The 14911-nt window shown below is 37.8% G+C and overlaps 1 protein-coding gene across 28 annotated transcripts in view, besides 1 other annotated feature; it reads left to right on the top strand.

Annotated features, from left to right (window-relative positions):
- ARHGAP21 (Rho GTPase activating protein 21) overlaps positions 1–10447 on the top strand; it is a 140274-nt gene extending 129827 nt beyond the window's left edge. For 17 of the 28 annotated variants that reach the window (NM_001367447.1, XM_011519605.3, NM_020824.4 and 14 more), the window contains 5 exons: positions 2049–2174; positions 2378–2419; positions 2731–2836; positions 4759–4790; positions 7955–10447. In NM_001367447.1, coding sequence (NP_001354376.1) covers positions 2049–2174; positions 2378–2419; positions 2731–2836; positions 4759–4790; positions 7955–9649 — 2001 coding nt within the window. In that variant the 3' untranslated portion in view covers positions 9650–10447. Of the gene's footprint in view, positions 1–2048; positions 2175–2377; positions 2537–2730; positions 2837–3581; positions 3856–4758; positions 4791–7954 lie in introns of those variants that run through there. The other 11 variants (XM_047425561.1, XM_047425560.1, XM_011519607.3 and 8 more) reach the window with 4 other exon arrangements.
- Positions 13711–14212: an enhancer, noted in NCBI's record as "NANOG hESC enhancer chr10:24868778-24869279 (GRCh37/hg19 assembly coordinates)". NCBI's record gives its function as "activates a minimal SCP1, AML or CMV promoter by ChIP-STARR-seq in naive and primed H9 embryonic stem cells {active_cell/tissue: H9 hESC(naive and primed)}" and the evidence as "EXISTENCE:reporter gene assay evidence [ECO:0000049][PMID:30033119]".

Raw genomic sequence — 14911 nt, 5'->3', positions numbered from 1 at the left:
AGAAAGATCAGTTTAAGAAAGATAGATCAGTTTAGTGACTGTGCATGTTCTGGAAGTTGTAAGGATTGATTATGAGAAGAGTGTCAACCTCTATTACCTGCAAATCAAGAAGCTTACTTCCTTTAGGTGCTCAATTTCCTCCATAGTGATTGATAGGGCTACAAAATGGTTAGAAAAAAAAAAAGAGAGAAAGGAAGTGAAAGCCTAGACTGTTGCCAGAAATTCATACTGTAGGAGCCAAAGAGTTTTCAATATAATTATAGCTGAAATAGTCTCTAATTAATTTCAGTATTTTCTGAAATCTATTACATCATTCATCAGTTTTGCTGAATGTTAGGAGTACTGTTGGTCTAGTTAATTTAGAAAGTACTGAATTAATCTTTAGCATAGGTCTTTACTGAAGAATTTTTTGTGTCTTTAATTACACTGAATCTTGAAGATGGGGTATGGTATTTTATGGAATATCTTTCAAGAAAAATACAATTTTTAAATTTATGAATAAGCTGTAGACTATTTTACCAGTTTTATGTAGGAACCAGCTGAAACTGTTTACCCAGATAAAATATTACGGTGTATACATATAAATATTAATGTTTGTTATCATTAGTCTAAAAACATAAATCATAGTCAAGAGTCTAGTAAAAATTTTACATAAGGCATTTGAGATGGTAGACTTCTGTTTTTTGAGCCACCAGCACCAGCACAGATTTAAGAGGAGGATGAGTACATATTCTAGAGGGAGACCAGAAACATTTCTGGGTGCCCAGTTTTAAGTACACCTTTCCCACACATAGTTTCTTTCTACCAAGCCAACTCTCTAGAAGAATCCTGACTTCAACACAATTTCTTCTTCTTCCTCTGCACTGATGGTGTCGTTGTATGTGTGCTACACTACTAGTTAACATGTTAGGTGTGCAGCAGTTGCTTTTCTTTTTTTTCCATTTTGGCTTTTTGAGTTTGGCAGTGGTTTTTACCCCCCTGGGATGTTATTAGGGTTGATTAAAGTTATTTTAATCAAATACTGAATTCAAAATATATCAGATACTATAAGATTTAATGAAGGAAAACAAAAGATCCATACCTTTGACAATCTGATAATTATTATACAAGGAATACCAAATATGGAAATTAATGTAGCTTCAGAAGATTGGTTTCAAGTAAAAATTGGTCAGAAATAATATTTCCAGACACTGGGTGTTTACACATTAGTGATTTTGATGTACTAGAGGGAAAAATCTATAACCTTTCATGTATTTTTCAGCACTTCTTCCACTTTTCATTTCTGAAGGGGAGGGAGTTTTTTGTTTTTTTTTTCTTTTTTTCTTCAAACAGGATCTTACTCTGTCGCCCAGGCTGCAACCTCGACCTCCTCCCACCTCAGCCTCCGGAGTAGCTGGGACTGCATGCACACACCATCGTGCCTGACTAATTTATTTTTAGTAGAGATGAGGTCTTGAACTCCTGGGCTCAAGCAGTCCACCTGACTCGGTCCCCCAAAGTGCTGGGACTACAGGTGTGCCTGTAATCTTCTGCAAGTTTTTTTTTCCTTTGATTTTAACATTTTTATCAGTTAATCCAGCTTTGGTAACCCTCGTTTTGAACCAAATCAGTTGTTTTCAATCAAAGTCTTCTTGGAAAAAAATGAATGCTAATTATGCATTGCACATTATCATTAATGCAGAAAAAACGTTTTGTACACATTTGCTTTGAAAATCCTAACTAGGCCACTTGTGGTGGCTGACACTTGAGGCTGGAGAACTGCTTGAGTCCACGATTTCGAGACCTGCCTTGGCAACATAATAAGATTCTATCGAGAGTGCAGTAAGCTGTGATCATGCCACTGCACTGCAGCCTGGGTGAACGTGAGACCCTGTCTCAGAAAAAAAAAAAAAAAAAAAAAAAAATCTTGCTAGAAAGCATTATTTTTTTAATCTACATCAAAGCTATTTTTCTGTTTATTCTTTTTCATCAAAAATCCTACAATGGCAATTTCAGCCTACTTCCTTAAGAAAAATTCTGGTATTTCCCAGTATCATCCTTTCTTTCAGATGGAACCAAGAAACCTAGCAATAGTGTTTGGTCCCACCCTTGTTCGAACATCAGAAGACAACATGACCCACATGGTCACCCACATGCCTGACCAGTACAAGATTGTAGAAACGCTCATCCAGCACGTAAGTTCATGCTTCATCTCTGTAAGTTCATGCTTCATCTCTGCAAGAAAATTCATTTTCACGGGCAGCCGCTATTTGGTCAGACAGAGGTTGGTTGTAATATCTTTCCCTAAGAAAATTACCCTTTTTCTATACTATCCTCCAAGATCTCAGTATATTTAAAGGCTTGTTTAATTTCTCTTCTCACCTTTTTTAAATTTTAGCATGACTGGTTTTTCACAGAAGAAGGTGCTGAAGAGCCTCTTGTAAGTATTGTCTGTCAGCATTTGTACTCAGTAGTTTCATTTGGGACACAAGATCCTGGCGCGCCAACAATGTCAACTTCCTGCTTTGCTATTGTCCGCTTTGCGCCCCGGAAGCAGGTCTCTAGCTCAGTTTCTGATCTAATGAATATACAAGTACGGTGCTTATTTTGCAGTTAATTATGCGTAAACAATGTAAACACATTAAGCACAGGTGCTTTACTTAGTAATGTGTCTTTTACTAAATGTTGTTTAAATTTTAAAGAAAGTATCTTTGAAGAGATGATGAAGAGATCTTTGTTTATTAACCATAGACAACAGTGCAGGAGGAAAGCACAGTAGACTCCCAGCCAGTGCCAAACATAGATCATTTACTCACCAACATTGGAAGGACAGGAGTCTCCCCAGGAGATGTATCAGGTAACTCTTGCCTGGGCAGTCTTGACCTCTAGGCTGAAAGCTACATTCTTACAATATGAAAGAGCAAATCAATCATAGTGAATTGTTACTTATGATTTTTTTCTTTTTCTCTTCCTTTCTACTAATAAAAAACCTTAATCTTCCTTTTCCAATTGATCTGAATTATCTTCCAGTGACTCTAATGCCATTGGCAGTGCATGCAGTTGTAATGTTTGTCAGAATGGAACTATGAGGGAAATGAGCATGCAAACCACTGTTTTGTTCTTTTTTTTTTTTTTTTTTTTAATTCACAGTTTCCATGTAATAGTCATCACAAGGTAAAACAGATATATGCTACTGAGTATGTGGTTGCTGTGATGGCAGAAAGTATGATCTGGGCTGTATAAGTAGTTCTTATTCTTGAGCCAGGAGTTCTGTTTAAAAGCAGCAAGTTAAATCTGTTGAACTGGTAATGGGCACCATTTTCATAAATACATTTTCATAAATACAGTGTATTATTTGTCACAGTAAAAAGCCAGCCTATTTGACATTTATTTTCTTCTGTTTCCTGTTGCCACCCTAATGCTTGGTTAAGTATTAGTTCTTCTAGGCTCTTTTGATGAAAACTTTCTCCTGCCAAACTGTTGCACTAATCTAGCATGTTGTTTTACACAATGTTCTCCCTTTGTCTCTAGTTCTTGTTTTAGTCCTAAAGGGTTTTTTCAGCTCTTACTGACACAGGCAAATCTATACTGATGTTGAACAGGCGAAGTGGGAGGAGTCTATCACACGGTAATGTCACTAGTGGATTCTGTGATGTCCCTGATGGACAGCTGGAACTGTAGGAAGAAGGAGGACTGTTGTCCACACTGTAGCTGCCTTGTCTGCAGAAATCCCCGATTCTTGTAAATGCAAACATAGTTGATCTGTGGTGTAAAGTTTCTCATAAGATTATTGTAAACAGATCAATACTACTTTCTTAAAAGTTTTTCTGCTGTTTCTTGTTATTTCTGAAGCAGACCCTGAGGAGAAATAGCATGGTATGGTCTACCAGTTCTTAAAGTCATAAAGCATTTAGCCATGTGTTAAAAGGGGCGTGGCATGGGGCTCAGCTCATTAATTCTGAAAACCAATTTCCCTAATGTTGAAAGATGAAACTTCAAAATTGGTATTATCCTGAATATTGCTAGCCCCTTCCTACCCTCTTTATAATTGTATAATCTGAGTTTTTGCCAGACAGTAAAATTATGGTCTCCATTTTTCCATTTCCATAACAGCATTTGTTAATAGATAATTGCAAAACTGGTAGCAATTTAACCAAACTAGTCAAAAGGATCCCTCAACTGCACTGCTATGGAACTGGGGTCTGAAGCACAAAGATAAACATTATTTAATGTAAAACCAAAGTGACCTGGAAGCAAGATTATCTTAATGCCTCTTTTGCATCCATACGCATACAGCATAATGCTCAGAAAATTTAAGTCTGACAAAAATCAACATAAACATGCCAGTATGAGTGTCTCAATTGTAGCTAGGGCGGCCAACACTCTTCAAAGTTCTACATTGTGTATCAGTCTCAGATACAGGATGTGGTACATTAAAAAAGAAAATTATTACACTGTCCTGAAGCTTCTTTATTGCTAGATTTAATATTTAGAAAGTCTAATAAACACGAGTGTTTCTGTTTTTGTTTAGCACAGGGCTCCTTTGCCATTTCTATCATTGAGCTGGTTCTGCCTACAATTCACAGCATCCTTTCATGGCGGTGGCTTTCTGTGGTGCAGCTTGCATCTTTGTGAGCTCTGACTATCCACTGTGTTCTATTGTTTTGAGTTTTGCTTTCACATTTTGTTCTGTGCCTGTCTTTCCATAAGTTTTGCATTGTTTGTGGAAAGCAGTAAAGATTGGCTAATACTGACCATGTTTTATTTAATTTTTCACAGATTCAGCTACTAGTGACTCAACAAAATCTAAGGTAAATTGTTTCATACAATTTGAAATATTTTAGGGGGGAATTGTTTTTCGGCTGATTGTTATGGTTGATACACAAATGCATTCCTCTCTATGTCTAATGAGACAGAGCAACAAAGTATAATCAAAAAATTAATTCCTAAAACAATATATGATAAGAAGAATACTAGATTTTGAGTTGGAATAAGAACTCAAAAGTTCATATTCTTCTCATTGTGCAGTTTTAGCATAATACAAAGAACTAGGCCATTCTTTAATGTGAAAATTAGGTCCTAACATATACAGAAGTGAATAATAAAATGAGAAGCCTCCCTGCACCCATCTTCATCTCCAGTAATTATCAGCACTCGGCCGACTCCGTTTGCTCTGTACGCCACCTGCTTCCCTCCCTCTAGGACCATCTTTACACAAATCCCAAGCATCATATCATCTGTAAATATTTCAGAAATACCAATTTTTTGTTATGCATTTTTACAGACAGTATAGTCTTGCCTTTTCAGTGAAATCACTAATTTTTTAAATAATATTTTTACACAATCTGTGTTCCCTCAATTACACAACTTTTTGAGTAGTTTGTGGGACATTTATAGTTCTTAGAAAGTTTTTTGTCAAGTCAGTGGATCTAAATTTTGCACTGTTGAGGCAGTAGCAACTGGAATTGTCAGACTTCTTAAAACATTGTTATATTTTGTAATGAGACATGAATTTTACATATCATGTTTAAATATCATAACAGGACTCCATATGATTAAATTATAATTCTTACAAAAATGCTTTATCATGTCTCTATTACTTGTGATGTTTATCTTTTTGCCCAGCTTTTTATCTTGAAAAATGTTAAACCTACAGAAAAGCTGCTAAAATAATAGCACCCAAATCCTTTACCCTAAAGCTGCTAAAATAATAGCACCCAAATCCTTTACCCTAGATTCATCAATTGTAAATTCACACTTTTGTTCTGAATCATTTGATAGTTACTTGTAGAGATAACACTACTCCTAAATACTTCAGCATGTATCACCAGAGAACTGGGGCATTCTCCTATATAATTACAGTGTAATTTTCATACTCAGGAAACTGAGGTAAGTACAACACATTATTATCTAATGTGCAGTTTTTATACAGATTGTCCCAGTAATATTCTTTACTTCCTTATACAGAATGCAGTCAAGGATCATTCCTTGCATTTCTTTGTCAAATCTCTTTAGACTTCTTTAATCTAGAACAGTTTCCTTAACTCTGTTGCCAGCAGATGAGATTTTAAACCAGAGAGACCTGTTTGAAATCCCTGCTTTTCCCTTCTCTAGATGCATTTTTCTTAACCTGTTATTACAGTAGCCTTTTCATCTTATCCATAGTGGTGTTATGCTATGCCTGTAATATAGTGGATATCCCAATGACATGATTAACTACTTCTAACAAACAGTCTCTGTAGAAAAGTAGAGTAATTTGCCTCAACACATATATGATCATAGAATTGTAAAGAGAACCTTAAGGAAATCTGAAAGACAGTATAATCTAATTGCTTCTCGCCACGGAACTGAGATGTTTAAAAGTGAATCCCTTGCTCGTACCCAGCAAGCTAGAGAGGATGGACATCAAGGTCTCCCAATTGAGAGCCCAGTCACAACCATTATCCCCTACAGTCTTCAGCACAATGTGGGGAAATGTAAATAACCATTAGAAATGTGCTGGATAATTATGAAAGTCTTTATAACTTGTAAAAACAAAGTTCTGTTCATCTGTGATTTCATCTTAGCGAATTTTTGATAGAACAGCCTAAATTCTTTGATAGAACAGCCTAAATTTTTACTTTAAGACTTTAAATAGAGCAGTTTTAACTTGTCTAAGATTTGCAGGCAATAGAGAAATATACTGTCTGTTTCTATTACTCAGCATACCTCCTGCCTACCTGCTTGTCTTAAAAAGTGTGTGGTAAACCAGCAGATATTTAGGAAGAAACTAATAGTTGCAATCAAGAACCTATTATATCTAGATGCAGTGGCTCATGCCTGTAAATCCTGGCACTTTGGGAGGCTGAGGTGGGAGGATAGCTTGAGACTAAGGCTTCTAGACCAGCCTGGGCAACATGGTGAAACTCCATCTTAAAAAATTTTTTTTAAAAGAACCTATTATACATAGCAAATAACTTTCCCAATAACACTGCACTACAGTGTTTCTGTGGTAAGGATTTAATTGTACTTATGTTAATTGATCTTTCCTTTCTACCTTCCTGGGGTGGGTTCTCACTCTGTCACCCAGGCTGGAGTGCAATGGTACCCTCATGCTCACTGCAGCCTTGACTTCCCCAGGCTCAGGTGATCCTCTGACCTCGGCCTCCCAAGTAGCCAGGACCACAGGTGCGTGCCACCATGCCCACTTAATTTTTTGTAGAGACAGGCCTTCACCATGTTCCCTAGGCTGATCTCGAACTTCTGGGCTCGAGCAATCTGCCCGCCTCAGCCTCCCAAAGTGCTGGGATTACAGGCATGAGCCACCACACCTGGCCTGTTTTTTGAATATTCTAATTCCATTGTTACCTTGAGATAAATGAAGACATTACCAACCTGATTTACTTAAGGCAGATCCTTGAAGATCCTGCCTGAATGAACTAATGGAAGACCAGAGTTCCCTTATCTCAATGAGCTTATCTGATACAGTATCTATATCATGTGGTACCTGTAATTAGAAAAATCAAAGTCAGTCATAAACATTTAATAACCTATATCAGAATGTGATGTTTAATAACCTATATCAGAATATGATGTTTGACCGTGTCACAATATTGTTTTACCTATCCCATGCCTCTATTCCAAATGAAGGAAGTGAAGAATGCCTGGGCACTGTGGAAGGAGGGAAGGTCAGGTGTTTGGGGGATTTTGATAGGAATCAGCACTAAGCACAGACTATTTTCCTGAAAGGCAGATGTGTATGAGCTGTGGCTTGGCAGTTAAATACCACGAGGCAAGAAATTGGACTCATTAAATAAAAATTTGACTTTGGTTCAAGGTAAAAAGAGGTATTAAAAAAAAAGCTAATTGCACTGTTAATGCTTCCAGAGCTTTAGTAGATATAATTTGATAAGAAATATTTGGGAGACAAGCTTGTCAGAAAATGAACTCAGCTGCATTCTTATGCTCAGAGTCTTTCTTCTCTCTTGCTTCCCAGGGTTCTTGGGGATCTGGAAAGGATCAGTATAGCAGGGAACTGCTTGTGTCCTCCATCTTTGCAGCTGCTAGTCGCAAGAGGAAGAAGCCGAAAGAAAAAGCACAGCCTAGCAGCTCAGAAGATGAACTGGACAATGTATTTTTTAAGAAAGAAAATGTGGAACAGTGTCACAATGATACTAAAGAGGAGTCCAAAAAAGAAAGTGAGACACTGGGCAGAAAACAGAAGATCATCATTGCCAAAGAAAACAGCACTAGGAAAGACCCCAGCACGACAAAAGATGAAAAGATATCACTAGGAAAAGAGAGCACGCCTTCTGAAGAACCCTCACCACCACACAACTCAAAACACAACAAGTCACCAACTCTCAGCTGTCGCTTTGCCATCCTGAAAGAGAGCCCCAGGTCACTTCTGGCACAGAAGTCCTCCCACCTTGAAGAGACAGGCTCTGACTCTGGCACTTTGCTCAGCACGTCTTCCCAGGCCTCCCTGGCAAGGTTTTCCATGAAGAAATCAACCAGTCCAGAAACGAAACATAGCGAGTTTTTGGCCAACGTCAGCACCATCACCTCAGATTATTCCACCACATCGTCTGCTACATACTTGACTAGCCTGGACTCCAGTCGACTGAGCCCTGAGGTGCAATCCGTGGCAGAGAGCAAGGGGGACGAGGCAGATGACGAGAGAAGCGAACTCATCAGTGAAGGGCGGCCTGTGGAAACCGACAGCGAGAGCGAGTTTCCCGTGTTCCCCACAGCCTTGACTTCAGAGAGGCTTTTCCGAGGAAAACTGCAAGAAGTGACTAAGAGCAGCCGGAGAAATTCTGAAGGAAGTGAATTAAGTTGCACCGAGGGAAGTTTAACATCAAGTTTAGATAGCCGGAGACAGCTCTTCAGTTCCCATAAACTCATCGAATGTGATACTCTTTCCAGGAAAAAATCAGCTAGATTCAAGTCAGATAGTGGAAGTCTAGGAGATGCCAAGAATGAGAAAGAAGCACCTTCGTTAACTAAAGTGTTTGATGTTATGAAAAAAGGAAAGTCAACTGGGAGTTTACTGACACCCACCAGAGGCGAATCCGAAAAACAGGAACCCACATGGAAAACGAAAATAGCAGATCGGTTAAAACTGAGACCCAGAGCCCCTGCGGATGACATGTTTGGAGTAGGGAATCACAAAGTGAATGCCGAGACTGCTAAAAGGAAAAGCATCCGGCGCAGACATACACTAGGAGGGCACAGAGATGCTACCGAAATCAGCGTTTTGAATTTTTGGAAAGTGCATGAGCAGAGCGGGGAGAGAGAATCTGAACTTTCAGCTGTAAACCGGTTAAAACCAAAATGCTCAGCCCAGGACCTTTCCATCTCAGACTGGCTGGCCAGGGAACGCCTACGCACCAGTACCTCTGACCTTAGCAGAGGAGAAATCGGAGATCCCCAGACAGAGAACCCAAGCACACGAGAAATAGCCACGACCGACACACCTTTGTCTCTTCATTGCAACACAGGCAGTTCTTCCAGCACCTTGGCTTCAACAAACAGGCCCCTTCTTTCCATACCACCACAGTCACCTGACCAAATAAACGGAGAAAGCTTCCAGAACGTGAGCAAAAATGCTAGTTCTGCAGCGAATGCCCAACCTCATAAACTGTCTGAAACCCCAGGCAGTAAAGCAGAGTTTCATCCCTGTCTTTAAACTGGGGGTATGTCCACTCTAGCAAGTAAAAAAACTACTGTTACACGTTCCAGTAACTCTGTCAATATTTTCTTGTATCAGAATTGTTATTATGCAGCCTTCATTTGGGCTGGTTTCATCATTTTGCACTGTGAAATAGCTTTACAGTGCATTACTACAGCCAGAAGAACATATATATATATATATATATTTAAAAATATATCGGATAGTTGTATACAAATGAGCAAGGTATTTGTTGCAACTTACTACATAGCATATACCCAAAATCACTGAAGAAAATCGCTGGCATCAGTGTGCAGCAAATTTGTTCTTTTGGTTTCATCACTAACAAAAGTGCCTCATCATAAAAATACAGTTGGTTTTTAGGGTGCCATATTGTTAAAATTAGATAACTTACTTACATTGAATAAACGAATGCGTTTTATTGGTAACAGATATCATTACATTTACCAGTTTTAACACAGGTGGATACAGAACTTCCATTCTTTAGTCATTCCAGGTGGATCTGAGTTTTATATTCAAACTTTTAATACAGTTTTTGAGTTTTGTGTGACTTGAATTTTTAATCTTTCTGTAAAATACGTAACTTAAATGAACATATTAAATGTGTATCTTTTCTTCAGATACCAGATTTGATATAATGTTGTAACATAGGTGTGTAGATAGTGGATCCTGGATGGAACTGGCTTCTTTATCGAGAAGAATATAATTCTGCATGAGGACTTAATGAATCCAAACCTGTGTCATGCCTGTGTGCATACCCAATTAAACACTGGAAATAAAAATTGTTTTGGTGAATTTTGCATGGCTTGAAACTTATTCTGATATATTTTTAGATGTCATCCATTTATAACTACCTTACATGATTAATTGGTCCTGACTTTAAAAAGGTGCCTACTATATTTATACATTCCATCTTCTCCTCTTTCTTGCTGTGGTGGGTAGAGACTCTTTCTTACAGATGCTTACATTAGCCTAACCTCACTTGTTGACTGATAGTGTTTAACTCTTCTAGGTAAAGTAATGTATGTTATGTTAATGTTCTTTTCGTGAGTGAAACGAACATGAGTTTGGAGTCAGTCCAGCTCTACCTAGGTATGTGAACTTGAACACATTATTTAACTTCTCTGAATTTGTTTTCTCATATAAACAGTTAGTTACAGTAACACTACCTATTATAAGGGTGATTAGATTTAAATGAGATACTGTTCCACTTACAGTGCCTGCCACACACTAGTTTCAAAATAGAACAAAGCTATTGTTGGAAGTAATGGTTACAAAAAAATCTCAGACTGTTAAGGCTGAGAAGGACCTTAACAGTCATCAAATCCAGAGATTGTCAACTGTCAAACATGATACTTTCTTAAAAGTATTTTGAGATTTCCCCTTTACCATCATGAAATTCATAATATATCTAAATATAACTTTACATTGAGTATGTTATGATATAGACCATAATCCCCTATTATAAAAGAAAAATGAAAGTGATTTATAATAAAATAAATTTTTCAATATGCAAATGCTCAGGTACAACTACATCATGAAAATAATATAATGGAATAGTCAGATGTTTGCTCCAGTATATAGAGTCACTAACAATGGTAACTACACATGGAGATGGTACCATGAATAGTTTGCTGCTGGCGATGAGATTTTACTAGGAGTCATGCTCTGCTTTTAAAGTTTTGAACAAAACAAAGCACACACTTCCCTTAGTTTACATGAGGGGGAGTTCTTGCAGTGTATTATTAAAAGTGTCAAAAACACTTTTTACTTATATGTTTTAAAAGTTACTTTCAAGGCTCAAATAGTTTTATATTATTTGTTCTTGCTCCTCATTTTTTCTATATTTTTTTTTCTTTTGAGAGAGAGTCTCACTATCAGTCTATTGCCCAGGCTGGAGTACAGTGGTACGATCATCACAGTTCACTGCAGAGCTGCGACTGACAGGCACATGCCACCATGCCCAGCTAACTTTTTTTTTTTTGTATTTTTTGTAGAGATGGGCTTTCTCCATGTTGCCCAGGCTCATCTCAAACTCCGAGGCTCAAAGCGATCCGCCCGCCTTGGCCTCCCAAAGTACTGGGATTACCGGCATGAGTCACCACGCCCAACCTTTCTTTGGCTATAATTTGCTCGACTTTTTAATTTCTTGAGACGATTGCTTGGAAAATTGATTTTTAGTTGTTTTCTAATATCTTCATTTTAAGGCTATATGCTGTATTTTTATTATCATTCATTTCAAAATGCTTTCTAGTTTGCATTCTGATTTTTTTCTTTAACCTGTGAGTTATTTAGCAATGTATTGCTTAATTTCCAAACATTTGAAAACTTTCTGGTTATGTTGACTCCAGCATAATGTTACATTATCATTAAACATACATTTGAAATTGAGACATCCATTTTGACCCCACTATATGGTCAATTTTGAGAAATAACACGTCTACTTGAAAAGAATATGTTTCTATCCTTACTGGATGCTTTTTATTTGGTGTATTAGGTCAAATTTAATCATGTTTTACAGATCTAGATCATTATAGATTTCTTCCCTGGCTCTTACCAGTTCCTGAGAAGTGATAGAATATTATGATATGAATGTAGATTTGCATATCTTTTATGTCAATCTTTTATTTTGAAGTTAGTTTACTAAGTGAACATAAATTTAGAATTGTTACGTCTTTGTGGTAGATTGACCCTTCTATTATGAAATGTCCTTCATAATGAGTCTCAACCAAAGCTTTATTACCTTATTTTATATATTAATGTAGCTATATTAGTTACTTTTGGTTAGTATTTGCATAATACATCATTTCCATCCGTATTAATCCTTTTGTATTTTTCTCATAACAGCATATAGATTTTCTTTAAACATAGTCTCTTAGTTGGAATATGTAACCCAGTTACATTTAATATGATTATTTATGTGTTTGGATTCACATCTACAGCTGAACCATTCATTTTCTCCATGACCAGGGCATTTTACCTACCCTTTTCTCTTGTTTCTTGCCTCTTTTGGATTAATATTTTTATTATACCATTTCCTCCTATTAGCATATTTATATGTTCTTTTCATGGACATCCTTGACTTAACTGAATATAATTTAAATTGGATTCTACTTTGTGTATTTTTTTGTAGAGACCAGGTTTCATCATGTTGCCCAGGCTGGTCTCAAATGCCTGGGCTCAAGCGATTTGCCTGTCTTGGTCTCCCAAAGTGCTGCGATTACAGGTGTGAGCCACTGCACCGACCTGGCACATTGCAGCTTTACTAGGTTTTGTCAAATTAATCTCCAGAGTTCGCCGGCAGTGTACGAGGATTCTCATCTCTTCACTTCCTCAAGGACAGTAGGGTACTGTCAGTGTTTAAAAATTTTGTTTTTAAAACAAAGTTGATGGGTGTGAGATCTCTCACTGGTTTACATTTCCTGCATTACTAGGGCAGAGACCACGTTTCAGATGTTCATTGGCTATTCTGGTTTCCAACTAAGTTTTTTTTTTTTTTTTTTTTTTTTTTTTTTTTTTTTTGGTGACGACACAGTCTCGCTCTGTCACCAGGCTGGAGTGAAGTGGCGTGATCTCAGCTCACTGCAACCTCCACCTCCCAGATTCAAGCAATTCTCCTGCCTCAGTCTTCCGCGTAACTGAGATTACAGCCACGCGCCATCACACCTGGCTAATTTTTTGTATTTTTAGTAGAGACGGGGTTTCACCATGTTGGACAGGCTGGTCTTGAACTCCTGAGCTCAGGGAGTCCTCCCGCCTCAGCCTCCCAACGTGCTGGGATTACAGGCATGAGCCATTGCGTCCAGCTATGTGAACCTTTGATCATATTTCTGTTGTTTTTTTCCTCACAGATCTTTACAAGATTTGGATACTAATCTTAATTTCAAATCCCCTCTTTCAGTCTATAGTTTTTAAACTTTGTTTCAGGTGTTTCTTTGCATAGTTTTAAATTTTATTTATCCCCATTTGTTGGCTTTTATATGTGTATTTTGAGAACCGCTAAAAAATACTTCCCTATCCACAGACATATGGTATATATTTGTTTTCTAGTAGGCTTAAAGTTCGTTTTCATGTGCTGGAGTTCATTTTGTGACTGATATTAGGTAGAATGGCAGGATTATCTTTTCCTCTGGTCGTTTTTGATGAGCTTTTTGCTACAAAATGTCAGATCCCTGGATTCGTATGCAAGACAATCAAATGTCCCTACTTGCCATTTCACTGTAGCAAGGTTAAACCATACGACACCAGCAGGGCTGCTTTAGCTGACTGATTTGTGCAACAGAGAACAGTAGGAGCCAATTGTAACAGGCATCTCAGCTGGCTGCCCAGGAAGGAAGGAAGGAGGGGAGTTGTACTAGGGGAAGAGCATCTGTTACACAGACCTCCCAGCATCCCTGCTATGAAAGCTAAATACCACGAGAGCTGGAACAGCATCTTAGGACAGTAGAAGGAAATACAAAGCAGAAGGAAGCTTAGTTTTGTCCAGCCAAGGAGAAGGTTTAGACAGTATAATATATGCTCAAACCTTCCAATGAAGCAGTTACAAAAGGAAAATATTGGGAATTGGACATAAAGATTTATCGATTGTCAAATTTGTTGACCATGGGGTCCTGAAGATGCTTTCTTACAGACACAAAACAAAACATGTCTTGAAACCTTTACTTTCTGAGAGTAGAATGAAGATGGCAGTTGTAAAAATCTACCAACAGAACAAAGCAAAAAACTAGGTGCTCATGTATGACATTGTCTGAATTTCACCTAGTCAGCATTAGATTTTAAGGTATGGTTAAACTTCCCCAGAAGGTGGAATCACTGTACCTCACTTTTTGTTACTTTTTTGTTTTTTTGAGACAGGGTCTCACTCTGTCACCCAAGCTAGAGCACAGTGGTACCATCTCTGCCCACTCAGGCTTTCTCATCTGACCACACAACACAGAAAGTGATTTGAGTAGCTATTCTCAAAATTCTTCCAAGGATGGATGGTACCTATCCAGTACGTTAGATCCGTAGAAAAAAAGTCAATTCATTACACATAACAATGTCTTAGGATCATCACATACATGTTTAAGCAAAAACATTTCATGGCACATTCTTCACTAAGGCAATAAGGAAGGCAGTAGATGTAATACAGTAGTTAGCTGGGATTCTGAGAGTTGGCAGGCTAACTTACTTCAGATCCTAGCTCTGGCACTTAGAGACAGTAGTGTCTATCAAGGATGTAATGAGTATGTCAGGGCTAATAAAGTGCCTGATACATAA

This window comes from Homo sapiens, chromosome 10 (assembly GCF_000001405.40).
Source record: "Homo sapiens chromosome 10, GRCh38.p14 Primary Assembly".
NCBI classification, from domain to species: Eukaryota; Metazoa; Chordata; class Mammalia; order Primates; family Hominidae; genus Homo; species Homo sapiens.
The sequence above is the reverse complement of the archived record's forward strand: the minus strand, read 5'-3'. Positions and strand labels throughout refer to the sequence as shown.